This window comes from Homo sapiens, chromosome 10, assembly GCF_000001405.40.
Source record: "Homo sapiens chromosome 10, GRCh38.p14 Primary Assembly".
NCBI classification, from domain to species: domain Eukaryota; kingdom Metazoa; phylum Chordata; class Mammalia; order Primates; family Hominidae; genus Homo; species Homo sapiens.
The window spans coordinates 52727780-52754495 of NC_000010.11; the positions used below are offsets into that span (position 1 = coordinate 52727780).

Genomic DNA, 26716 nt, shown 5'->3' on the forward strand with positions numbered 1-26716 from the left:
AATTTTGTATTGTTATTTTGAAACTGGTTTTCAGTGTAGCAAGACAAAACTATAAGTAATGCTATTATCATTACATTAGGAATTAAGATTTTCATAATAAAAAGGGATATAACCATAAAATCAGGGAAGTTAACCTGAAATTTTGTATTTGTAAATTTGAACTTGAAATTATTGGTGTAAACTCATGATATATATGTTAAAAATATGCATTTCTTAGCTCTATTCACTAAGACATCCTGGACACAATGACCAATGATTATTCAGTAGCAATGAATAACATTAATGCACAGATGATTCTGGTCTTTCCATACCATTTCCCACTAAATCAAGACAAAGGTTATTGGAAAATGATTGAATCCAGTACTGGAAGAGGAAATGTACAAGATAAACTGGGAATATTTTGTGATAACAGAAAGCTACTAAAGATTACTGGGGTCATGGTCATGTGTAAAGAAATCAGGAGACAGCATGAAATGCATCCCAATAGTGAAAGATGAGACAAACTGAGAATTGGCAAGAATAACAACTGTGATAAATTAAAACTATCAAGTATTTTTAAAATCCCATGAGTTCATAATTACACCTCAAAAGCAAACAAATGAAGTCTTTAAGGAAACTTTGTAACATACTTTGAGAACCCAATCAAACTGGTTAAAAAAAGGTATGGAAGTTAAAATTGTATCCTATATTTTCTGTATGAATTTTAGCTCAAATACAATAAAATTGTAGGTAAGAAAAATTTTTCTCTTCATACAATTATCTAAGTTAATAAAAGAAGAAAGGATGATAGAATTAGCATATCACTATTTTGAAAACCCTTAATAAATTACTAGGCAAAGGCAGTAGTCATCAATGGCTGATAACAATCATAAAAAGATATAAAACTAGACACTGTTCTCCTCCCAGTAAAAGTACACAAAAACTTAGGATGTAATTCTGCCAGGAAATTAAACTTGAACCGTATCAATCCTCTAGGCTTGATAACAGTTAACTGAAAATAAAGAGAGGAAAATGCAAAATGACTTTACAGAGTTGCAATCTGCAAAAATCCAGACTGTAAGAAACTACAGGAATGCTTATCAAACTTTAACATGAACATAAATTGCCCAAGGATCTTGTAAAAATAGAGATTCTGATTTAGTAATGTAGGGTGGTGCTTGAAATTCTATATATTTGTAACAATCTCTCAGTAGTTGTCGATACTGCTGGTCCATGAACCACACTTTTGAGTAGCAAGCCTCAACGAAGTAAAATTAAGGCAAGGAAAACAAAGAGAAGTGTTCTATAAAGTAAAAGTGACTCTAGAGACATAATAATCAAGTGTAATGTGTGTACATTTTTTTCCTAGATTCATTGAACTAAGCGTGAAAAATTATGAGAAAGTGATAACTTGATATTTGAAAGTATTCTTATCGTTTTGAGATACACACACAATTTATGGCAGGATTGAATATGATGGTTAGAACTGGGTTCAAAATCATCCAGTGTATATTGGGGGACAGGGGAGAGAAAATATTGGAGAAGTGACAGGGATTATTGAGCTCATCATGTTATTTTTCTCTACTTTTTATGTTTCAAACTTTCCAAAAGAAAAACTGTTTCAACTGGCTCCGCAAAATCATTTGGCATATTTTAGTAAGATTTCAGTTGACTTTTTACGTTTCTCCTTACAGTCTTTACCAATTTGCTATGTGTATGCGAAGAGATTTTCTTGGAAGGTCTGTAGCTTTCATTATGTTTTCAAAGATGATTGAATAAACAGGAATACAACTAATAATACTTACATTCAGGAAATGACCTCCTTGGAAAACCAACAAATTGAATAAAATCGTAAATATGGTAATTTTATTAAAACACGTTTCTTGCTGCCCAGTGAACATCTTACATAGATCGCTTAGAGTGTAATATCTTAATAGAAGAGCACCCTCTGCTGTCTTGACAAGAAATATCACCACAAATGGGGAGACAATTGCATTTTCGATTTTTCCAGTAATCAGTTATGGCAAATTAAAATCAAGGTATGACAGCATAGTCAACTTTTCATTTAAACCCAGTATCATGGGGATTATGGAGATAAAATATACATGGTCTTTGTGCTTACATCTTATTTTTCTCTTCCGATTTTTCTCTCCCCTGAGGCCTTTGTGTGGAATCAATACAGTTCCTATGATTCTATAACCTGATTAAAAACACTCTCTGAGACTCTCAAAAATAATTACTCAACCTGGGCAACATAAGGAGACCCTGTCTCTGCAAATAATTAAAAAGTTAGCCAGGCGTGGTGGCTTGCATCTGTGGTCCCAGCTACTCTGAGGTGGGAGGATCACTTGAGGTTGGGAGGTCGAGGCTGCAGGGAGCCATGATCATGACACGACACTTCAGCCTGGGCAACAGAACGAGGCTCTGTATTAAAAAACAAATTACTTCCCTCAAAAAAAATTTTATATGGCAAGCATAATTTTATTTTATTTTATTTTTATTTTTGAGAGTCATTTTATTTTATTGTAGGTGTTGAGAGCTTGGGATATTTTGAAAGAAATAGTGCATTTAAAATGTAGACATTCATTCAATGAGTATTTTTTTTATTATACTTTAAGTTTTAGGGTACATGTGCACAATGTGCAGGTTAGTTACATATGTATACATGTGCCATGCTGGTGTGCTGCACCCATTAACTCGTCATTTAGCATTAGGTATATCTCCTAATGCTATCCCTCCCCCCTCCCCCCACCCCACAACAGGCCCCAGAGTGTGATGTTCCCCTTCCTGTGTCCATGTGTTCTCATTGTTCAATTCCCACCTATGAGTGAGAACATGCGGTGTTTGGTTTTTTGTCCTTGCGATAGTTTACTGAGAATGATGATTTCCAATTTCATCCATGTCCCTACAAAGTACATGAACTCATCATTTTTTATGGCAGCATAGTATTCCATGGTGTATATTTGCCACATTTTCTTAATCCAGTCTATCATTGTTGGACATTTGGGTTGGTTCCAAGTCTTTGCTACTGTGAATAGTGCCGCTATAAACATGCGTGTGCATGTGTCTTTTTAGAAGCATGATTTATAATACTTTGGGTATACACCCAGTAATGGGATGGCTAGGTCAAATGGTATTTCTAGTTCTAGATCCCTGAGGAATCACCACACTGACTTCCACAATGGTTGAACTAGTTTACAGTCCTACCAACAGTGTGAAAGTGTTCCTGTTTCTCCACATCCTCTCCAGCACCTATTGTTTCCTGACTCTTTAATGATTGCCATTCTAACTGGTGTGAGATGGTATCTCATTGTGGTTTTGATTTGCATTTCTCTGATGGCCAGTGATGGTGAGCATTTTTTCGTGTGTTTTTTGGCTGCATAAATGTCTTCTTTTGAGAAGTGTCTGTTCATGTCCTTTGCCCACTTTTTGATGGGGTTGTTTGTTTTTTCTTGTAAATTTGTTTGAGTTCATTGTAGATTCTGGATATTAGCCCTTTGTCAGATGAGTAGGTTGCGAAAATTTTCTCCCATTTTGTAGTTTGCCTGTTCACTCTGTTGGTAGTTTCTTTTGCTGTGCAGAAGCTCTTTAGTTTGATGAGATCCCGTTTGTCAATTTTGGCTTTTGTTGCCATTGCTTTTGGTGTTTTAGACATGAAGTCCTTGCCCATGCCTATGTCCTGAACGGTAATGCCTAGGTTTTCTTCTAGGGTTTTTATGGTTTTAGGTCTAACATTTAAGTCTTTAATCCATCTTGAATTAATTTTTGTATAAGGTGTAATGAAGGGATCCAGTTTCAGCTTTCTACCTATGGCTAGCCAGTTTTCCCAGCACCATTTATTAAATAGGGAATCCTTTCCCCATTGCTTGTTTTTCTCAGGTTTGTCAAAGATCAGATAGTTGTAGATATGCGGCATTATTTCTGAGGGCTCTGTTCTGTTCCATTGATCTATATCTCTGTTTTGGTACCAGTACCATGCTGTTTTGGTTACTGTAGCCTTGTAGTATAGTTTGAAGTCAGGTAGCGTGATGCCTCCAGCTTTGTTCTTTTGGCTTAGGATTAACTTGGCGATGCGGGCTCTTTTTTGGTTCCATATGAACTTTAAAGTAGTTTTTTCCAATTCTGTGAAGAAAGTCCTTGGTAGCTTGATGCGGATGGCATTGAATCTATAAATTACCTTGGGCCATTTTCATGATATTGATTCTTCCTACCCATGAGCATGGAATGTTCTTCCATTTGTTTGTATCCTCTTTTATTTCCTTGAGCAGTGGTTTGTAGTTCTCCTTGAAGAGGTCCTTCACGTCCCTTGTAAGTTGGATTCCTAGGTATTTTATTCTCTTTGAAGCAATTGTGAATGGGAGTTCACTCATGATTTGGCTCTCTGTTTGTCTGTTATTGGTGTATAAGAAAGCTTGTGATTTTTGTACATTGATTTTGTATCCTGAGACTTTGCTGAAGTTGTTTATCAGCTTAAGAAGATTTTGGGCTGAGACAATGGGGTTTTCTAGATATACAATCATGTTATCTGCAAACAGGGACAATTTGACTTCCTCTTTTCCTAATTGAATACCCTTTATTTCCTTCTCCTGCCTAATTGCCCTGGCCAGAACTTCCAACACTATGTTGAATAGGAGTGGTGAGAGAGGGCATCCCTGTCCTGTGTTTTCAAAGGGAATGCTTCCAGTTTTGGAAAACATCCCAGTTTTCAAAGGGAATACTTCCAGTCTCTGCCCATTCAGTATGATATTGGCTGTGGGTTTGTCATAGATAGCTCTTATTATTTTGAGATACATCCCATCAATACCTAATTTATTGAGAGTTTTTAGCATGAAGGGTTGTTGAATTTTGTCAACGGCCTTTTCTGCATCTATTGAGATAATCATGTGGTTTTTGTCTTTGGTTCTGTTTATATGCTGGATTACATTTATTGATTTGTGTATATTGAACCAGCCTTGCATCCCAGGGATGAAGCCCACTTGATCATGGTGGATAAGCTTTTTGATGTGCTGCTGGATTCGGTTTGCCAGTATTTTATTGAGGATTTTTGCATCAATGTTCATCGAGGATATTGGTCTAAAATTCTCTTTTTGTTGTGTCTCTGCCCGGCTTTGGTATCAGGATGATGCTGGCCTCATCAAATGAGTTAGGGAGGATTCCCTCTTTTTCTGTTGATTGGAATAGTTTCAGAAGGAATGGTACCAGTTCCTCCTTGTACCTCTGGTAGAATTCGGCTGTGAATCCATCTGGTCCTGGACTCTTTTTGGTTGGTAAGCTATTGATTATTGCCACAATTTCAGAGCCTGTTATTGGTCTATTCAGATATTCAACTTCTTCCTGGTTTAGTCTTGGGAGGGTGTATGTGTCAAGGAATTTATCCATTTCTTCTAGATTTTCTAGTTTATTTGCGTAGAGGTGTTTGTAGTATTCTCTGATGATAGTTTGTATTTCTGTGGGATCGGTGGTGATATCCCCTTTATCATTTTTTATTGCATCTATTTGATTCTTCTCTCTTTTCTTCTTTATTAGTCTTGCTAGCGGTCTATCAATTTTGTTGATCCTTTCAAAAAACCAGCTCCTGGATTCATTAATTTTTTGAAGGGTTTTTTGTGTCTCTATTTCCTTCAGTTCTGCTCTGAGTTTAGTTATTTCTTGCCTTCTGCTAGCTTTTGAATGTGTTTGCTCTTGCTTTTCTAGTTCTTTTAATTGTGATGTTAGGGTGTCAATTTTGGATCTTTCCTGCTTTCTCTTGTGGGCATTTAGTGCTATAAATTTCCCTCTACACACTGCTTTGAATGTATCCCAGAGATTCTGGTATGTTGTGTCTTTGTTCTCATCGGTTTCAAAGAACATCTTTATTTCTGCCTTCATTTCATTATGTACCCAGTAATCATTCAGGAGCAGGTTGTTCAGTTTCCATGTAGTTGAGTGGTTTTGAGTGAGTTTCTTAATCCTGAGTTCTAGTTTGATTGCACTGTGGTCTGAGAGACAGTTTGTTATAATTTCTGTTCTTTTACATTTGCTGAGGAGAGCTTTACTTCCAACTATGTGGTCAATTTTGGAATAGGCGTGGTGTGGTGCTGAAAAAAATGTATATTCTGTTGATTTGGGGTGGAGAGTTCTGTAGATGTCTATTAGGTCTGCTTGGTGCAGAGCTGAGTTCAATTCCTGGGTATCCTTGTTAGCTTTCTGTCTCATTGATCTGTCAAATGTGGACAGTGGGGTGTTAAATCTCCCATTATTATTGTGTGGGAGTCTAAGTCTCTTTGTAGGTCACTCAGGACTTGCTTTATGAATCTGGGTGCTCCTGTATTGGGTGCATATATATTTAGGATAGTTAGCTCTTCTTGTTGAATTGATCCCTTTACCATTATGTAATGGCCTTCTTTGTCTCTTTTGATCTTTGTTGGTTTAAAGTCTGTTTTATCAGAGACTAGGATTGCAACCCCTGCCTTTTTTTGTTTTCCATTTGCTTGGTAGATCTTCCTCCATCCTTTTATTTTGAGCCTATGTGTGTCTCTGCACGTGAGATGGGTTTCCTGAATACAGCACACTGATGGGTCTTGACTCTATCCAATTTGACAGTCTGTGTCTTTTAATTGGAGCATTTAGTCCATTTATATTTAAAGTTAATATTGTTATGTGTGAATTTGATCCTGTCATTATGATGTTAGCTGGTTATTTTGCTCGTTAGTTGATGCAGTTTCTTCCTAGCCTCAATGGTCTTTACAATTTGGCATGATTTTGCACTCGCTGGTACTGGTTGTTCCTTTCCATGTTTAGTGCTTCCTTCAGGAGCTCTTTTAGGGCAGGCCTGGTGGTGACAAAATCTCTCAGAATTTGCTTGTCTGTAAAGTATTTTATTTCTCCTTCACTTATGAAGCTTAGTTTGGCTGGATATGAAATTCTGGGTTGAAAATTCTTTTCTTTAAGAATATTGAATATTGGCCCCCACTCTCTTCTGGCTTGTAGAGTTTCTGCCGAGATATCCACTGTTAGTCTGATGGGCTTCCCTTTGTGGGTAACCCGACCTTTCTCTCTGACTGCCCTTAACATTTTTTCCTTCATTTCAACTTTGGTGAATCTGACAATTATGTGTCTTGGAGTTGCTCCTCTCGAGGAGTATCTTTGTGGCATTCTCTGTATTTCCTGAATCTGAATGTTGGCCTGCCTTGCTAGTTTGGGGAAGTTCTCCTGGATAATATCCTGCAGAGTGTTTTCCAACTTGGTTCCATTCTCCCCATCACTTTCAGGTACACCAATCAAACATAGATTTGGTCTTTTCACATAGTCCCATATTTCTTGGAGGCTTTGTTCATTTCTTTTTATTCTTTTTTCTCTAAACTTCCCTTCTCGCTTCATTTCATTCATTTCATCTTCCATCACTGATACCTTTTCTTCCAGTTGATCGCATCTGCTCCTGAGGCTTCTGCATTCTTCATATAGCTCTCGAGCCTTGGCTTTCAGCTCCATCAGCTCCTTTAAGCACTTCTCTGTATTGGTTATTCTAGTTATACATTCGTCTAAATTTTTTTCAAAGTTTTTAACTTCTTTACCTTTGGTTTGAATTTCCTCCTGTAGCTTGGAGTAGTTTGATCATCTGAAGACTTCTCTCAACTCGTCAAAGTCATTCTCCATCCAGCTTTGTTCCGTTGCTGGTGAGGAACTGCGTTCCTTTGGAGGAGGAGAGGCGCTCTGCTTTATAGAGTTTCCAGTTTTTCTGCTCTGTTTTTTCCCCATCTTTGTGGTTTTATCTACTTTTGGTCTTTGATCATGGTGATGTACAGATGGGTTTTTGGTGTGGATGTCCTTTCTGTTTGTTAGTTTTCCTTCTAACTTACAGGACCCTCAGCTGCAGGTCTGTTGGAGTTTGCTAGCGGTCCACTCCAGACACTGTTTGCCTGGGTAACAGCAGTGGTGGCTGCAGAACAGTGGATTTTCATAAACTGTGAATGCTGCTGTCTGATCGTTCCTCTGGAAGTTTTGTCTCAGAGGAGTACCTGGCCGTGTGAGGTATCAGTATGCCCCTACTGGGGGTGCCTCCCAGTTAGGCTGCTCGGGGGTCAGGGGTCAGGGACCCACTTGAGGAGGCAGTCTGCCTGTTCTCAGATCTCCAGCTGCGTGCTGAGAGAACCACTGCTCTCTTCAAACTGTCAGACAGGGTCATTTAAGTCTGCAGAGGTTACTGCTGTCTTTTTGTTTGTCTGTGCCCTGCCCCCAGAGGTGGAGCCTACAGAGGCAGGCAGGCCTCCTTGAGCTGTGGTGGGCTCCACCCAGTTTCAGCTTCCTGGCTGCTTTGTTTACCTAAGCAAGACTGGGCAATGGTGGGCGCCCCTCCCCCAGCCTCACTGCCGCCTTGCAGTTTGATCTCAGACTGCTGTGCTAGCAAGCAGCGAGACTCTGTGGGCGTAGGACCCTCTGAGGCATGTGCGGGATATAATCTCCTGGTGTGCCGTTTTTTAAGCCTGTCGGAAAAGTGCGGTATTAGGGTGGGAGTGACCCGATTTTCCAGGTGCCGTCTGTCACCCCTTTCTTTGACTAGGAAGAGGAACTCCCTGACCCCTTGCACTTCCCGAGTGAGGCAATGCCTCACTCTGCTTCGGCTCGCACACGGTGCGCTGCACCCACTGTCCTGCGCCCACTGTCTGGCACTCCCTAGTGAGATGAACCCGGTACCTCAGATGGAAATGCAGAAATCACCCGTCTTCTGCATTGCTTACGCTGGGAGCTGTAGACTGGAGCTGTTCCTATTCGGCCATCTTGGCTGCCCTCTAATGGCAAGCATAATTTTAAAAAAGATTACATGATAGACCCCTGAATTTTAGTCCTATTTCTTTTTTCTAGTTTTTTCTAATTCACCCCTACAATTTTAATAAATATTTATTAATGTCTGCTGTCTACTTGAGCCTCTAAAGAATAGACATAATCTGAAGGGACAGGACTTAGATATTTTCCAACAATTTAGTAGTGATAAAAACTATTTTTCTAAAATGATCATTTTGGAGAATCCAATATATAAACTAGATTAAGGTTGCTCTAGTTCATGAGGTGGAAAACCACAGTCCACACAGCAAATCCAGTCCACCACCAGTTTTGGTAAAAAGAAAAAGTTTATTTGTACACAACCACTACGGTTCATTGACAACTGAAACTATAAGATAAATGAAATGATGGTTTTTAAGACATTGAACATTAGGCAAAAGAGAATGGAGAGACTAGAAACAAACTAAAGGAGCCCTAAGACACCCCCAGCTCACTTCCCTGAGAGAGTTTTCAGGTTAAAGTTTAGGGGCAGAAAATGAGGTGAAGTGCATTGGATGCCCTGAGTTGAGGGAATAGAGCTGAGAGATCCTGGAGACATGGACATTTAGAGTTTATAGGAAAGAGTGCCAAATCAGAGAGCACTACACAGAGAGAGGATCCGAGAGATCTTTGAGTATTCAAAACTCTTCGAGCAGGTTTGTGAAGATTTTGTCCAAAGTAAGAACAAAAAAAGTCTGAAAAGATTAGAGTGAATAGTGTCCAGCAATCACACAAGGCTGAGAACCGTGCCTTTACCAACGAACCAGCTAGAAAAACTCTTAATTCATGGAGCTTTGGGGAAACTGCTCAATAGAGGGGAAGCATGAGCTCTAGACAGAGCAGTGCTCTGGATCTCCACATAAAAGCAAGACCTGAGAAAAAACCAACTACTTCCAAGTAACTTAACTGGGTGCCAGGATGATATTTTTCACATTTAAGCAAGTCACTTGTAGAAAACCCACAAAGAGGTCATGGGAGAAATTAGAAATTATTTTTATCTGAGTCATAATGAAAACTAAATGTTTAAATTTTGGTGATAGGCATAGCTAAAGCAGTTCTTATAAGAAAATTTATAGCTTTAAATGTTTATATTAGAGTGGAATAAAGACATGAAATAAATTATCTAATTATTCCTTTTATAAAACTAGAAAAATATGCTTCAATTAAAATAAGTAGAAGAAAGGAAATAAAGATCAGAGCAAAATTAATGGTATACAAAGCTGAAAAAAATGAGAAAATAAAGCCAAAAGTTGTTTTTATGAACATTAATACAATTTTTAAATATCTAGCAAGACACATCAAGAAAACATGAAAAAATGCAAATTAGCAATATCAAGAATTAAAAGGGACTATCACAACTGATCCTAATAGATATCAAAAACATAAAAAAAGATTGTGAACAACTTTCTCAACAAATTTGTGAAGTTAAATTCCTTAAAAATTAAAATATAATGAATATGATACAAGATTGAGTAGACAATTCTCGAATAGACAAGATCGAATAGACAATCGAATAACCCTCTACCTACCAAAGAAAATTAATTTGTTATCAAAACTTGCCCCACAAAGAAAATTCTAGGCTCAGATGGGGTTTCACTGGTGAATTCTATTAAATATGTAGAAAGAAAGAAAGTAAATCCTATGTAAACTCTTTCAGGAAGAAGGAATAAGGAACACTTTCTAATTCATTAATGAAGGCAGTATAATCCTGACATTAAAATCTGAAAATGATACTCCAAGAAAATACCGTAATAAACATGTTGGTAAAAATTCTTAACAAGTCTAGACAAAATCTAGACTACTCAGGCTCTCTGCACACAACAAAAACGGACAACAGGCCCCGCTCCTAGCTGGCATGAGCAAGTGCTGCTTCTCTACTAAATACAGATCTAGCCCTCTCTGTTCCTCCCCAGTTCTAGAAAAAGGTAATGACATCCAATCCTATTACCCCTGCTTCCTGACAGCACCTGGACCAGATCAGACTCATATATTCGTGAGTCTCCCCAACCTGAAAATCACAAAGCACAAGTACAAATTCCATGCACATTTCCTCCTGACAAACTGACTGAGCGATCCTATGGTTCCTCCAGTAGTACAATCTTCCTTGATACAAGTACCAGGAAAATAAACTTTGCCTCATGACAGTTGTGTTCCTGGTGGTTTTTGACTAAAGATCTTTGATTGATGGTTTCATGTTCTCTGTCTTTATCTTCCTCACAACATTTCTGGGGAAGTAGCGTGGGACTACAAAACTTATTTGATGCCAGTATAAGTGGTTTGTTCAAATTCACATAGATACCAAATTCACAGTTAAGAGTCAAAGTCTCTCAATCTCCAGCTGTTTCTTCAAGATGGAGCAGTCCACAAAGGCTGCATCCCAGAGTAAGAAGAAATAGAGATAATTGCAACTGAGGCCAGCGGACTCAGAATGGAGTGGAGACCATGAAAATCCTGCAGGAAAGAGTTGTGCGAGGGGGCAGAAACAGGCCAGGCGGTGAAAAACGGGCCACAAGTGGGGCAGGCACTCATCTTATAGGTCAGAGAGGCAACTGATTCTGCAGGGAGGTGGATGAGTTGAATGAGGTGGATGTCTGGGAGGAAGAAGCAGTGGACAAGGCTCAAGGTCCTAGAAACTCTGACAATGACTATAGGGGTGGTGTGAAGGTGCTCAGAGATGCTAAATGACAACCATTTAGCAGAGTTTGTTGTACCTGTTAGGAGCCTAGCATTGTGACTACGAGCATTTAGATGACCATTGCTCAGCATTTTAATAATTACAGAACCAGAAGTCAATATTTTCTGGAGAGAAATTGGTACTTGCCTCTTGAAATGCAAAGTTCACATTTCCCTGGTGGAGGCTCTTGGGTCAGAGGTGTTAACAGGATGGAGAAGAGTTTTGTGGTCTCAGGCTTGTGGGGGGGTTGTGGGCTGCCCTGGCCTGAGGACAGCAGGAGGTCCAGGTCAGTATATGCTGAATGGGTCTAGGCAGGATGGAAGGATGGGGTGGTCTTGAGAAAGTTCATTTTACCCTTGGCCATCAGAGAGCAGGGCTCCTCTCCTTACCCCTGGCTGGTGGGGAGCATTCTCCAGATTTTCAAGAGTCCCCACAGAATGGCTCTGGGGCTCAGAAGCCTGGGAGGCATCCCCATCTTCCAGACAGAGTTGCAAATGCTGAGCCAGTCATGGCTTCTCAATTGGACCAGAATTCCTTCCATGTGTATGTTATTCACATCCCCATGTCATGAATAAGGAAACTGAGGGTCAGCCAAATGAGGTCACTTGTGAAGTGAGCACTTAGTAAAGAGCAGAAGCAGAGCCTCTCGTTAGGCAGGTGAGGTCACTTGTGAAAGTCACTGAGCTCAGGAGAGAGTAGACCCTTGCCTGGCTCCTATGTCTGCCAAGCAGATGCTGATCTTGTGTTTCCCATTGCCTCTCTGGTTTGGAGCCTTGAATCACCACCTTTGTCTCAAATTTAATCACCCCGTTTTCCTTCCCTCAGCAGGATTCCTTCAGCATTAAGCAAAACTAAGATCTCTGGGGCCAGCATGGAACCCCAAAGTCAGACTAGAGTACTCACATCCCGAACTTACAGCATGGGATCCAAGACACCTCTTTGCCCAGAGGACAGGAATGGAATCATGTTTTTCATCAATGACCAGTAAATAGCCCAAAGACTCAGCAACATGGGCAGAGCTGGAGCCTGGAGCCCACAGCCCAGTGCCCAAAGCCTGAATGAGGAAACTGCAAGGAGAAGACAAGATTTAGGGGCTCAGTTAAGCTTGTAGCACTACAGCCCTGCAGATCACCAAAGTAAGGCCCAGAAATATAAGGTCAGTTCTTGGAACCCAAATGCCAGATGCCAAGCGAGGGCCCAGAGCCAGAGGCCCAGGCCTCAAGCAGAGCCCATGACCCCTAGTTCAGGATCCAACACACAGAGCCTGGAGCTTCCTCTTCTTCAGAAAACTGAGATCACTGCCCAAGCACAGTACAGGGTCAATCCCACCCACTGGAACCAAGACCCAGGGCCTAGACTGCAGAGTCCAGGGTCAGAAGTTCAGTGACCAGAGCAGAGGGAGCAGATTTAGAATCCTAATTCTCTTTTCTGAGCTCAAATACCCAATCACTAAGGGTGTGACCACTGCCCAGAGCCTGCAGCTGAGACCCCAGGACCCTGAGATCCAGAGACCAGAACCCTGAGATCCAGAGACCAGAACCCTGTACCTGGGAGGAGAGTGCCCTAAAGAAGGGACAGCTGGGAGCTGCACGTAATTCTCATGTTGATTCTCAATGCTAGAGAGGATGCAGACCTTTGATCTACTTGCAGATCATCACAAAAGCCAGGCTCTTTCCCTTCCCTGAGCATGTCTACATGGTGTTCCCCAGGTCTCATGTTAGATGTCATGTGCGGTCCTCAAAAAGGCCTCCTAGATCTTTGTGCCCATCCCCTTGGCCCAATGCAGTTCTTAACACTGCCAGCAGAGGGCAGAACTGTTACATGCTTTTCCTACTGGTTGTTGAAGGGGCTGCCTCTCAGGGGCTTCTGCTTATCCTACAGGGTCCCTGAGGGTTCAGCATTTCCCATGCCTCACGTTGGCTCCAAGAGGCCATTCGGAGAAGCTTTTTTCATCATTCCATCTCTGTGAAGAGGAAAGTCTTGTTGGAGAGGTATTTCTGGTTAGTCTAACCACCTTTCTCAGGGCTTCTGAGTATCTGCAGCTTCCTATATTGCAGGGCAATGCTTTTTCCTGCTCAGATCTTAGGGAAGACCTGTTTTTTCAGGCTAAGGGAACAAACACTCGAATGCTATCTCAAAGATGCTCACAGCAAACATTCTACTGGCCAGTGCTGTCCACATGCCAGTTTCATAGGGTTGAGAGCTGAGGCCCAGCAAGTTGTGGTCAGTGGGAAGTAACTGCTCTGTTAAGGGCAGAGCACGCATGTGGCATGCAGTGGCATCTGGTCTATGCACATCTGCTGTCTTCCCCTCTTCCTGCTATCAGACCAGTGCCTGGTATTCTGGAAAAATATGTGGGAGGTATGGGGGAAATTAGTGACTGCATCAGCCTCATCTGGACTAGGAGCTAGTTCTCTGGGGTCTCAAATGCATTTCTTGCTTGAGGAGGATTGCAAACCATCCCCTGGATGGAACCTCCCAGGACACAGCTGCTGAGGATCCTCGATCATGCCCTGCCATAGTTTCATCCAACCTCCCCATCTTTATATTCTTGTTCAGCAGCACCCTAATATAGTGCCCAGTGCTGTTCCTTCATCCTGTTTCTTATGAGAGGATGAGGAGGGTTCAGGGATGCCAGTTCTCTTCCTATTGCCTCTTGGCAAGGAAAAACCCCAAAGCTGCCCTCGGGCCAGACAGGGGCTTTATAGGCCTGAACCTCATAAGTCATAGATCATCCTCATCTTATACATCTATGCACATCCGCATATTTCCCCAATACCAGTGAATAGACACACATACATACACAACCACCTGCAAACACTTGGACATGCTTCACACAGACAGGAATACACAGGGCAAGCACAGACATGCAAGAATCATAGAGACATAAATAGACCTACCCCTGATGTATAAAGAAGCACAAGTATGCACCACTCTGTGACACTTGGTGAGGGCAAAGCATATCTGTATTTTCACTACTCCCATTGGAATTAACTTCTACTAAGTTGGGGCTGGGTAGAGGTCAGTCTCAGCAATTTATGCATGCTTTTTTTTTTTTTTTTTTTTTTTTTTTCTGGAGACAAAGTCTCGCTCTGTCGCCCAGGCTGGAATGCAGTGGGCGATGTTTGCTTATTGCCACTTCTGCCTCCCGGGGTTTTAAGCGATTCTCCTGCCTCAGCCTCCCTAGTAACTGGGACTACAGACACCCACCACCATGTCCAGCTAATTTTTTTGTATTTTTAGTAGAGATAGGGTTTCGTCATGTTGGCCAGGCTGGTCTCGAACTCCTAACCTAAATGATCCACTCTCAGCCTCCCAAAGTGCTAGGATTACAGATGTGAGCCACCGTGCCTGGCTGTTTATTTTCATAGATAAATAGTTGCTGAAAGAAAACTAACTTCTATGAATTCTAGTCTCCTTATTGGCTATTTAGTAGCTAGACACAGCTTTCCCTCGGGATTCAGAAATATGTGTATGATTTACAAGTTCTCAGAAAAGCCATCAAGTATAGTCTCAGTCACTGTTGTGGATGCTGCCTGTGTCGATTAAGGTCCTAAAGAGAAACAGACAAATAATTGTGTGTATGTATGAAGTGACTCAACTGCCAGTGAGGGCTGGCAAGTCTGCAGTCTGCATGGCTGGTGGGCTGGAAATTCAGGTCACGGTTGCTACTGCAGCCTTGAGGCAGAGTTTCTCCTTCTACAGGAAACCTATTTTCCCTCTTCAAGCCTCAACTGTTAGATGAGGTCTAACCACGTGATGGAGGCTCATCTCCTTTACCTAAGATCAACTGATTGTGGATGCTAACCATATGTACAAAGTACCTTCACAGCAGCACCTAGGTCAGTGTTGGATTCAATAGCTGGATAGTGTAGCTAGACCATGTTGATGTGAAAAATTAATCATCACATTCCCTGATTGTGGGATACACAAAGATTGACCCTCTAGGTGTTCGCTGCCCAAATAGAAAACTACTAGCCACATGTGAACACTTGAAATAGGCTTATTCCAAATCGAGACGTGCTCTGCATGCAAATGTACATTGGATTTTAAAGATTTCATGAGGAACAAATGGCTGTACTGAATCAGGTGAATAATGCGTTTACATGATTACATGTTGAAATGATAATGTTTTGAATATGCTGGGTTAAATTTTATTTAAATTAATTTTACATATTTTTACCCTTTTAATGTGGCTGCTAGAAAATTTAAAATTAGATGTGTTTCTAACTCCATATTTCTATTGGACAGCAATGCTCTAAAACACATTGTCCCTGGGCATCACTGGTAGACTCAATGCCCAGGTCATTCGGCCTCTTGAGGGCTACAGTTCCACAACCTAGTGATGAGGATGAGAGCAAGCCTCCTCACTGAGGTCCATGACTCCAGCGCCCGAGGCTCACCCTACACCACAGGATGCCCTGAGAGAGCAAGGTGGGCTGTGTTGTGACCTCCTTCCTTATCCCATTTTTTGGGAGAGTTTTCCAGGTGTCCTCACTTTAAGCCGAAATTTCAACAGACTCATAAGTTGTTGGATATTCAGAACTTTTAGAATCTGAACCCAGTGTCATGGCCCCTATCAAACTGAAAAACCGGGCCTCAGGAGATGTTGCTTCGACTTCACAGAACACTGAAGACAAGGTTTATGGGCCTTTATCAGGGAGGCCTTGGGCTCCTGAAATGTTTTCAAAAGTCCTCAGAGTGTGTTCATCTATGAATACAGTATTAGCAACTAATTAAATACAGGAAAATGCATAGAAAGGCATTCCACTAAGGGGGAATAGAGTATGTCTGTGCTCTGGGACTAGGATGGGGCAGCCCATCTAGAGAACTTCATGGAGCTTCATGTGGCTGACTCGGAGACGTTCAGGGACTGAGCTCCAGGGGAGGCTGGGCAGGAGGACAGACCGGGCTGACACCGGAGGGTTGTGTGTATCGGCCTCTTGCTCAAAGCATCTCTGAGGGTAAAGGGATCCTTGGGATGGTTATAAGAAGAAAAATGTCCTGGTGAATATTTCTCAGTTACAGGTGGGTCCTCAGCATCTGTCAAGAAACTGCGTGTCTGGTATTTGGTCCTCAGCTGAGAACTCCCTGCCACTGCCTTGGTCATGCCAGTAGGAACCTAGCCCACACCACAGTGACTCTCCTGAAGGGATTGTGGTGAATTCAAGAGAAAAGGCTGTGTTCTGTGTATGGGTTCCTGTGGGCCTAGGGATTCTAGAAATATGAGAGGTGTTCAGAATGTCAGTAATAAAACAGGAAACTAAAAGTGACTGAAAGCTTAAGAATATAGAAAACTTTTCAGAACAGGTACTTAGACTACATCCAGTATGTGGATGTGGATATCAATCATAACTGTCGCATGTGACTCATAGGACAGGATGAAGCCATCAGTGAGTGATGTCGGCTGAACATATCTGAGCACATAGGAGAAAAACTCTGTGTCCTGCTCTCTGCTCCTCACCCTGGGGCAGGAGTGTGGGCCTGGAGAGGTGGAAGGACCATTTCCTTCATGTTCCATGGTGTGCTGTGGAGTCCCACCCTCTGGTCATGGTGGAGAAACTTGGTCAGTCCCACCTTCCCACAGACATCAACGGAAAAAAATTATCTTAAGAATGCAATTAATATTGAAATATTAGACTTTGAAATCCATCATATTTACAAATCAAAGAGACATAGCTAAGAGTGAATTTGATGGATTCTGAAAAATCAATTTAGAACTCATCACACATTCATTATTTAAAAAAAAATCAGCAAATTTCCCTCCACGTGATAAAGTATGTCTAAGAACAACCTCGCGCTCACATGATCTTTAATGGTGAAAGAAAAAAAAACTGCTCCCTGTGATTGAAAACAAGACAAAGATATCAGCTGTAGCTGCCACTGTTCTATTCAACATTAGTTAGAGAATCCAAAAAAAGTCACTATGCACATGACAAAAATGGCCAATAGGCCCCTCTTTTGGCTGGCGTGAGCAACTACTGCTTCTCTAGTAAATATCGATTTAGCCCTCTCTGTTCCTCCCCAGTTCTGGAAAAAAGTTTACATCTGTTAAAGCAAACTAAAAATGGCCTGAGAAGGACTCTGTACTTCTATATTTGAGTCCTTGTGGACAAACTGTAACCTAACTTGAGAGGTAGATGAGATTGAAAACCAAACTTAGGAGTATGCACCTGTAACAATAGCTGAGTCTTGGCCAATCCCAGCAGCCATACTTCAACCACTCATACACTGCTGAGTGTTCAAACTCTGTTCATATAAGGCAAACGCCAACCTGTAACCAGTCCAGCTGTTTCTGTACCTTAATTCTGATTTCTGTACAACGCTTCCTTTTTTTGTCCTTAAATTTGTTCTGACCATAAGGCATTCCCAGAATCCCTGAATCTGCTGTGATTCTGGGGGCTGCTCCATTCTTGAATCGTTCATTGCTCAATTAAACTCCTTTGAATTTAATTCAGCTGAAATTTTTCTTTACCACATCCAGTAGTATTACCCCTACTTCCTGACAGCACCCACACCAGATCAGACTCCCACTTTCTTTTTTTTTTTTCCTCTTAGAATAACCCTTGTTTGAAAGTCTACTTTTTTTTTTACTATTATTTAATTTTATTTTAAGTTCCGGGATACATAGGCAGGATGTGCAGGTTTGTTGCGTAGGTAAACGTGTGCCATGGTGGTTTGCTGCACCTATCAACCCTTCACCTAGATATTACGCACCACGTGCATTAGCTATTTATCCTGATGCTCTCCCTCTTCCCACCCCCTTGACAGACCCCAGTGTGTGTTGTTCCCCTTCCTGTGTCCATGTGTTCTTGTTGTTCAGCTCCCACTTATAAGTGAGAACATGTGGTGTTTGGTTTTCTGTTCCTGTGTTAGTTTGCTGTGGATAATGGCTTTCAGCTCCATTCATGCCCCTGCAAAGGACATGATCTTGTTTCTTTTTAGAGCTGACCCTAGCCCTAACCCTAACTTTATTTGTCGTAGCCTCAGTTTCCTTATTGATGACATGGGGATCTGAATAACACACACACAAGGAATTCCGGTCTAATTGAGAAGCTATGACTGGTTCAGCATTTGCAACTCTGTATGGAAGATGGAGACTCCTCCCGGGCTTCTGAGTCCTGGAGCCATCTAGTGAGGACTCCTGAAAACAATCTGGAGAATGCTCCGCACCAACCAGGGGCAAAGAGAGGAGCCCTGCTCTCAGATGGCCAAGGGTAGAAATAAACTTTCTCAACCCCATTCTTCCCTCCCACCTTGACCCATTCAGCACATACTGACCTGGCCCTCCTGCTATCCTCAGGCCGGGGCAACCCACCCCACCTGACAGGCCTAAGAGCACAAAACTCTGTTCCATCTTGTTAGTACCTCTGACCCAAGAGCCCCCACCAGGCAATTGTGAACTTTGCATTTCAAGAAGAAAGTACCAATTTCTTTCCAGAAAGTGTTGACTTCTGGTACTGTAATTATTAAAATGCTGAGCAATGGTCATCTAAATGCTCATAGTCACAATGCTAAGCTCCTAGCAGGTACAACAAACAAACTCTGTGAAATGGTTGTCATTTAGCATCTCTGAGCACCTTCACGCCACCCCTATAGTCATTGTCAAGGCTTCTAGGACCTTGAGCCTTGCCCACTGCTTCTTCCTCCCAGAAATCCACCCCATATAACTCATCCACCTCCCTGCAGAATCATTTGCCTCTCCAACCTATAAGATGACTACCTGCTCCTCCCATGGCCCATTTTTCACAGCCTGGCCTGTTTCTGCTCCCCTCCCACAACGCTTTCTTGCAGGATTTTCATGGTCCCCACTCCATTCTGAGTCTGCTGGTCTCAGTTGCAATTATCTCTACTTCCTTTTACTCTGGGATGCAGCCTTTGTGGACTGGCCCATCCTGAAGAAACAGCTGGAGATTGAGAGATTTTGATTCATAACTGTGAATTTGGTATCTATGTGAATTTGAACAAACCACTTGTACTGGCATAAAATAGGTTTTCTAGCTCCATGCTTCTTCCCCAGAAATGTTGTGAGGAAGATAAAGACAGTGAAATTGGGACCATCAATCAAACACCTTCAGTTGAAAACCACCAGGAACACACCTGTCATGAAGCAAAGTTTATTTTCCTGGTACTTGCATCAAGGCAGACTGTACCACAGGAGGAACCACAGGACCACACAGTCATAGTTAGTTAGGAGGGAATTTGTATGGAATTTTGGCTTTTGCTCTGTGATTTTCATTGGGGGGGCACTCAAGAAAGTGTGAGTCTGATCTGGTCTGGGTGCTGTCAGGAAGCAGGGGTAATAGGATTGAATGTCATTTCCTTTTTCTAGAACCGGGGAGGAAAACAGAGGACTAAAGCTATAATTAGTAGAGAAGCAGATGTTGCTCATGGTTTTCTGATGTTCACCATTAGTTCATGCTTTTCAAATACATTACTCTGTTTGTTTGCTTCCACTGGAATGAAGTTTTTCTAGTAAGCTGTTTGCTGGGTCTGCAGAGCATTAGGTGTAACTTTCCAGAGAAGACAAAGGATAACTTTGGCCTTCGTCCGTTGATTCCATTGCTTGTTCATTGATTCTGTCCACAAGTATGCATGGAGCACTGTGAACCTCATCATGGCCGGGCCCAACCGAGGCCACTGGAGCTGCTAGAGTGAGAGAACTGTGGTCACAAGACAGGGGTGTGCCCCACATAGGACAAATGGAATGAGCAGCTTTCCAGACTGAGTAAACAGTGTGAATAATATATTAGAGTCCTTGTTAGGCTCCAGATAAAGAAGGTGAAGTAAAAGAGCCAAGGATATGAGGGAGGATATGAGAGTTCTTGATTGCTTTGAGCCTGCCCACCCACCCTCAGCAGACATGATTTGCCCTGGTTTCCCAGTGCAGGTTTGGTTCTGAGTGAAAACCAGAAGCATCATTTTCATGGTGTGGTGTGGGCCTACTGGCCAGGGTGGCCCTAGGTAGCTCTGCATCAGACTGGGCCTTTATGGAGAAGCTTCGTTCTGCTAGGGATGTGTACTCTTGTCCAACCCATGAGACACTGGAGGATTTCATGGCAGAAGCCCCTGATGATGTGAGAGCAAATCTCACTGTCCCCGTATATCAGTGGGAGAGGGAAGAGTGTATTTTGACAGTCCAGGTATTCCTAGTTCTCTTGTTTATAGGCAAAATTGTTTAGTCATTCAAAGAAAGTCTTTCTTGATCAAGAGACAAGGGACCTGCCAGTAGCAATTTAGCACTAGCAGTAGTCAAATGTAATGCTCTTGGCAAGTTTCATCCTAGGGTGGAGGAAAAGGAAGAGTCAGAAGTGGCTGATGACTTGGATGGGTTCAAGCCTATGAGGAGGAACTTCATATGCATTGTGGCAAGACACAGGGGAAGAGTAAACCCTCATTGTTCAGAACTAAAACAGCTGATGTCTGAGACAGCAAGAAAGATCCAGTCTCTACACCAAAAAGCCATTGAGCCATATGTGCAAGAAGCTAAAGCACACTTCAAACTAACAGGAGAAACTGAAAAAAGATTCAAGCTCACCAGAGCCACGTTTATGTCTTCTATGAAGAGTCAGGCTATGTCTTGGCAGGAAGACAGACTCAAGATCAATGAAGCAGCAGCTTTTTCCTGAAAGAAGGACTTGAGTGAGAAATTGGGATTAGGAGAACCAAGAAATGGAGATCATATTCTTAAGGAGGCAAAAGGATCCAGGAAAAGATCAAAGGATGCTGTCAGGTCACATGCCCATTTCAACATTCAAGAGAAAGAGAAAGAACCAATTTCACATCAGTATTGCCAAAGAAAAGAAGAAAGCTCACTGAGAGGTCAACACAAGATCATCTAGAAGCCTCCATGGAATGATCAGATTGACATATTGAGGAGAGAGAAAATGAAATGATTAAATGACAGCAGCCTAAAAGAAGTGGAGTGTGTGGGGATGCTACTTGTCAAGGCAGATCTTGACTTCGAGCAATAGGTAGAAAGTTCTGAAGCCAATGACCTGATGAGCCATGAAATAAAGAGTTGGAGAACTCCCAAGAGCTATTTCCTGATCTCACATGACAGCTGGAAGGAACCATTTTTTTCTAGGCAGTGCCAGATTCTGTCAATCAGGTGTCAAGCCCCCAATGATTGGCTGAGAGCTCAGGAGGTTGAAGGAAACCTCATCATCACCAGACAGGAAGTTGCGGACCTGGGACAAAGAAGAAGGGAAAGAGCCATTCAGCTCCAGCTTCTGCATGTGGATCTTCATGGATTTGATCATCCCAGTGGAGCATGTGGTTGAGATTAGGATTTGTGCCCTGATCCCTGGCCATGAAGTGCTGCTTTCTCAGAGATCGCAGAGTCTCTGGCCCATCCACTCTGACCCTTCCCTTGATGACCCTCTCCTCACTCCCCCTCCTCTGTCTCCAGTACCTTCACTTTTTCTTTCCTCTTTCCTTTTCCTCAATAAGATGTTTACTGAGTCTTAATAGGGAGTTCCTGGCAAGAAGCTATCTTCTTCCACTACCTCCTTCAAGAAGGCTTGTTGCACCCATGCCAGGCTTCTTCATCCTCAAAGTAGGGTTCTCCTCTTTTGCATCTACCATAGCCTGTTTTTTCCCCTGGATATTTGAATTTAGAAAATGGTTGTGTTATCTCTCGGTTTCATTCAACCTCCATGGGACCTTTGTCCTCCAAATTCCGAAACCACACAGTGGTCTTCAGTCATGAGTTTTCATATTTGATCCTTAAAATGTCTTTCAGTTCTCCCTCTATGTTTATATTTATGGTAGAGTCTTTTACACAAGTGGTTTGTTTTTTGTAGAATCTTGATAGTCATATAGATTTCAGGATAAATTTAGAAAATAGAGATTATTGGAAGTTATTCTTATGATAGTATACTCTAGAAAACTAGAAAAATATGTTTCCTGTAGGTTTTTTTTTTTTTTTTTTTTGAGACAGAGTCTTGCTCTGTCGCCCAGGCTGGAGTGCAGTGGCATGATCTCAGCTGACTGCAACCTCCGCCTCCCAGGTTCAAGCGATTCTCCTGCCTCAGCCTCCAAAGTAGTTGGGATTACAGGCACCTACCACCACACCTGGCTAATTTTTGTATTTTTAGTAGAGATGGGGTTTCGCCATGTTGGTCAGGCTGGTCTCGAACTCCTGACCTCAGGTGATCTGCCTGCCTCAGCATCCCAAAGTGCTGGGATTACAGGCATGAGCCACCACGTCTGGCCCTCCAGGAGGCTTTTATTGGATGAGTCAGCCTGCTTTTCTTTGAAAAACACGATATGATTTTTGAGCACTTTAGCTTTAAGAGACATTTGAAAGAGAAAACCATTTCTCTATTTTAATGTTTCTATCTAGCAGGGTAAAAGAGAAGGGTGAACTTTACTTCTGAGTTTCAATACATTAGACTTCAATTTAAGATTGGCTCCCATCTGTTCATTGAGTGGAGAGGGCAGTCTGTAAAGTGGGGAGTCCAGTAGGGCTGGACCTGTTCATAACTATTGCCTTCTGGTACTATAGGTCTCTGAAAGGGGCTGGACTCAGGGCTAGAGATTCAGTGAAGAGGGAGGTGGGCCAGCCTATAACTCCTCACCTTTATCCCACACCCCTAGGAGACCTGGGCTACTGCAGCCTTCAAACTCTTCATGTAGATGGATGAACCTATGCCCATGTCAACCCCTCTTGACAATACCATTTAGATGTTCCTATGTTAATGTCCTGGATGGCATCATGTGCCAAATCCTTGGGTGTCTGAAAATATGGCCTATGGAACAGATCTGACGAGCAGCTGATTTGACAGAGGTCAAGAATATCTTCAGGTTTGGCAGTGAGGAATGTCAGTGTGGGTATAAGAATGTGGCTGTGAGGTTCTTAGGCCAAGAGTTTTGGGTCTCAGCCCAGGCAAGTCCTACCACACAGAAAAATAGAAAAGGCTTTGCTCACCTAGATCCTGGTTCAAAGTCACAACTCTACTTGGTAAAGCATCTGTCAGAGTCTTCAACGGAGTCATGTCCTAGTTCTGTGGTGTCAGCATGACCAAGGTATGTAACAGAATTCCGGTTCCTGCAGGCTCTCTGACTACCACCAAGTCTCAGGCTTTCTTGCTCTACATAGGTCCAACATTCACGACTGCCTACCAAGAGTCCTTGAAAGATTCCAATAGGAGTAAAGGGTCTCCCTGATCCCTCACCCCCAGCACATGCCCAGGAATAGACAGGAGTTATTACTAAGACTTCCCCAAGGATGCAATTGTGAGCCAGGCCTCAGTGGCAAAAAGGCATGGGACAAGTACCAAGGCATTCCCAGAAGCCAGGAACCATCATGAGTGCTGACTCATTCTGTATTGATCAGATCATCCAGTGAGGGAAACAGAGAATTTAGATAGGCGCAGGGATTCAGGGGACTCAGACTTGGAAGCCCAGGATTGAAGTGGGTCTTGTACCTGCACACTCTATAGATGTATTTCTGCCTGAAAGCCCACCCTTAGGGAGCACCCTTCAGAGTCAACTCTGGGCAAAAGCATTGACTGGAGGAGGGGAACTGTTCTGCTCTCCTCTCCATCCCCAGACAGGGACTCTAGGCTTTGTTTTAGTTCCTGTCATTCTCATGTCCTTGTTCTTCTCTGATTTGGCTGTTTCTATCTGTGTGGCAGAGACACTCATCTCTAGTTTCAAATCATCCCTGGGCAGGTCACAGGCCTTGTGTTCCAACCTTCTGATATAGGTACCTAGTGAGCTGTGGGTACAGATTTAGCCCATGGCTCTGGGCCATGGAACATGGTCATGAGAGCTGTGAGGATGATGGTGAAACTGTGCCACATGCCCTGTGGCCATGTGGGGGTTGGCACTGGGCTGACCAGCCTCCATATGTCCTGTCAGTAAGCCAACGTATGAGCAGTGTGGCTTACAGGTGTCCACTTCTTTTTCACTGTCCTTCAGCTTCTTGGAAGGTCTAGGTGAAGGTCAAGAGTCAACAGAGCTGCTGGAGAAACCAAAGTATAGGGAAGGACATGGGCTGGGCTCTATCCTTGACTTAGCCATTGCCTAGGTGTGCCTTGCCTCCTGATCCTCTATTCCCTCATTTTGAGAAGACCACTCTGTTATGGGCAATCATGACCATTTGCTCTGAATATGGTCTGCCAGGGGAAACATTCACCAGGTGCCCAAAAAAGGCCTGTCCTGAATGCCCCTCATGGAACTTTCCTCTGCCTGGCAGAAGTCATTAGGACATTGGACAGCTCACTGCCCCTGGCTTCTTTGCCCTTCTCGCCTTTCTTCCTCTCTCTTTTACCTTAACAAGTGTCTTGCCATTTTTCTTTCTTCATTGCTATTTGAATACATTTGATAAAGGTGGTCTCCAGGCCCTGTGAGGGCCTGGCCTTGTGCAGGATGTCTGCAGGGGATGGGCATAGTGGGCCAGGATGGCTCAGTGCACACTGTGTCAAACACTGGCTTCCATGTCTGTGTGTGGATGTGGCAACTCATAGACATCCAAGAAAGGTAGGGCCTTCCTCTCTTCTGGACATGTATCTGAAACTTTGTTCCTAGTAGAAGAAATCTGAGAACTGGCCAGGTGATCAAGGGCAGGTGGTGAGGAATAAAGGACTTGTGAGACACTTCACCTCTTTCACCTCCTGGTGCAGTCCTGCTGCACGCCTCACCTTTTCATGGTCTGCAAGTTTTGCTAACTGAGATCAGGATAATGGCGTGGGATTGAAATCATGATGCACCAGCAGTCTAGCCCTGCTCACTGCTCCTCACTCTGGGGCAGAAGCTGTGGGCTTGGACAGGAGAAGGGTAGCCTTTTCCTTTCTCTTCCATGGGGTGCTGGGGAGTTCCACCTTCTGGTCATTGTGGAGGAGGCTGATCAGTGCCACCTTCCTACAGACACCAATGATTCAGCATGGGCAAATGATTTCTGAGAAAGCACCTCACAGAAGGTGCTGAAGAATCACCCAAATCAGGCAGATTCTGGAGGACAAATCTATGAAGGAAGAGGAACTGCTGGAGATGTGGTCTCTAAGTGTGCAGCTTTTCAGACAAGGGAAAGCCCGGATGCTCAGTAAATATTGAACTTCACCACAATGACACAGGCTCAAACAGAAAATCTGAAAAGTCCCACATTTGTATGACAAAATGAACTTATTCACATAGAGTCAATCTCAAGTTCAAATGGCTTTCTTGGTGAATTTTATCAACTCCAAAGAAGAAACAAACTTATGGAAACTCCATCAGAACATACAGGAAGAAGGAACACTTGATGTGAAATTGTGAGATACCAGCAATACCCTGCTACCCATAATAGAAAACAGTATCCCAAATAAAATGACAGACTAATATAGCCCATGATCTTGTTCACAAAATTGATTATAAAATATAAACATGTCAAACCAGTAACCTATGACAAATATAGGACATCATGGCCAAGTGACATTTATGCAGAATTACAAGTTCATACTTCAGTGTGTAACTTTGAAATGCACAATGGAATAATTAAATCAGGAAGACATAGTTGAGTCAGTTCAATACATTTGAAACATTAATTCACAAATTTCATCACCTATTTATTTTATTTAAAAATCCCAGCAAATTTGAAATAGAGGGGAATTTTCTCCATGTGATAAGTTACATCAATGAAGAAAATTAACCTAATATAATGTGTGAGACGTGGAAATCATTTCTCCCTGTGATTGCGAACAAGGCAAAGATATCAGCTCTCATCATTCTCTTCAATTTTAGATAGAATATTTAGCAAATGCGGCAAACAAAAGAGAAAACAGGCAGAATGTTGCAAAGAAAACAGTAGGACTTCCTTATTTACCAAAGACATGAATTGATACGAAAACATTTAAATGAATGTATTTTTAGACCCATGGAACTAATGAATGTGATTAGCATGGTTTTACATTTAAGGGTAATGTACACATTCATTTTTATTTCTATATTTTTAGCAACAGTTCATTGGAACATAGATGAATCAGTATTGTACAATGTCAGTTCTCAACACCGTGATCTCAAGAGTCAACTCCATTTTAATCAAAATTCCAGAGAAATTAACCAGCTTATTCTACAATTGATATAGCATGTATTATCTGAGGAATTATACTCATATTTTCAGACTTAAACTATAAGACATAGCAATTAAAACAGTGTTGAATTGGCATGGGATGCATCAATAAACCAGTGGAATAGAATAGATAATTCATGCATACATTTGTACATATAAGTGGTCTTTTAAACTTCCATATAGATATAAATGATCTTTAATGGAGACTG

General features: G+C 42.2%; 1 long non-coding RNA gene across 1 annotated transcript in view; it reads right to left on the reverse strand.

Moving 5' to 3' along the window:
• LOC105378305 (uncharacterized) overlaps positions 1–26716 on the reverse strand; it is a 198425-nt gene that overhangs the window by 170800 nt on the left and 909 nt on the right. The gene's annotated exons all lie outside the window — the stretch shown is intronic.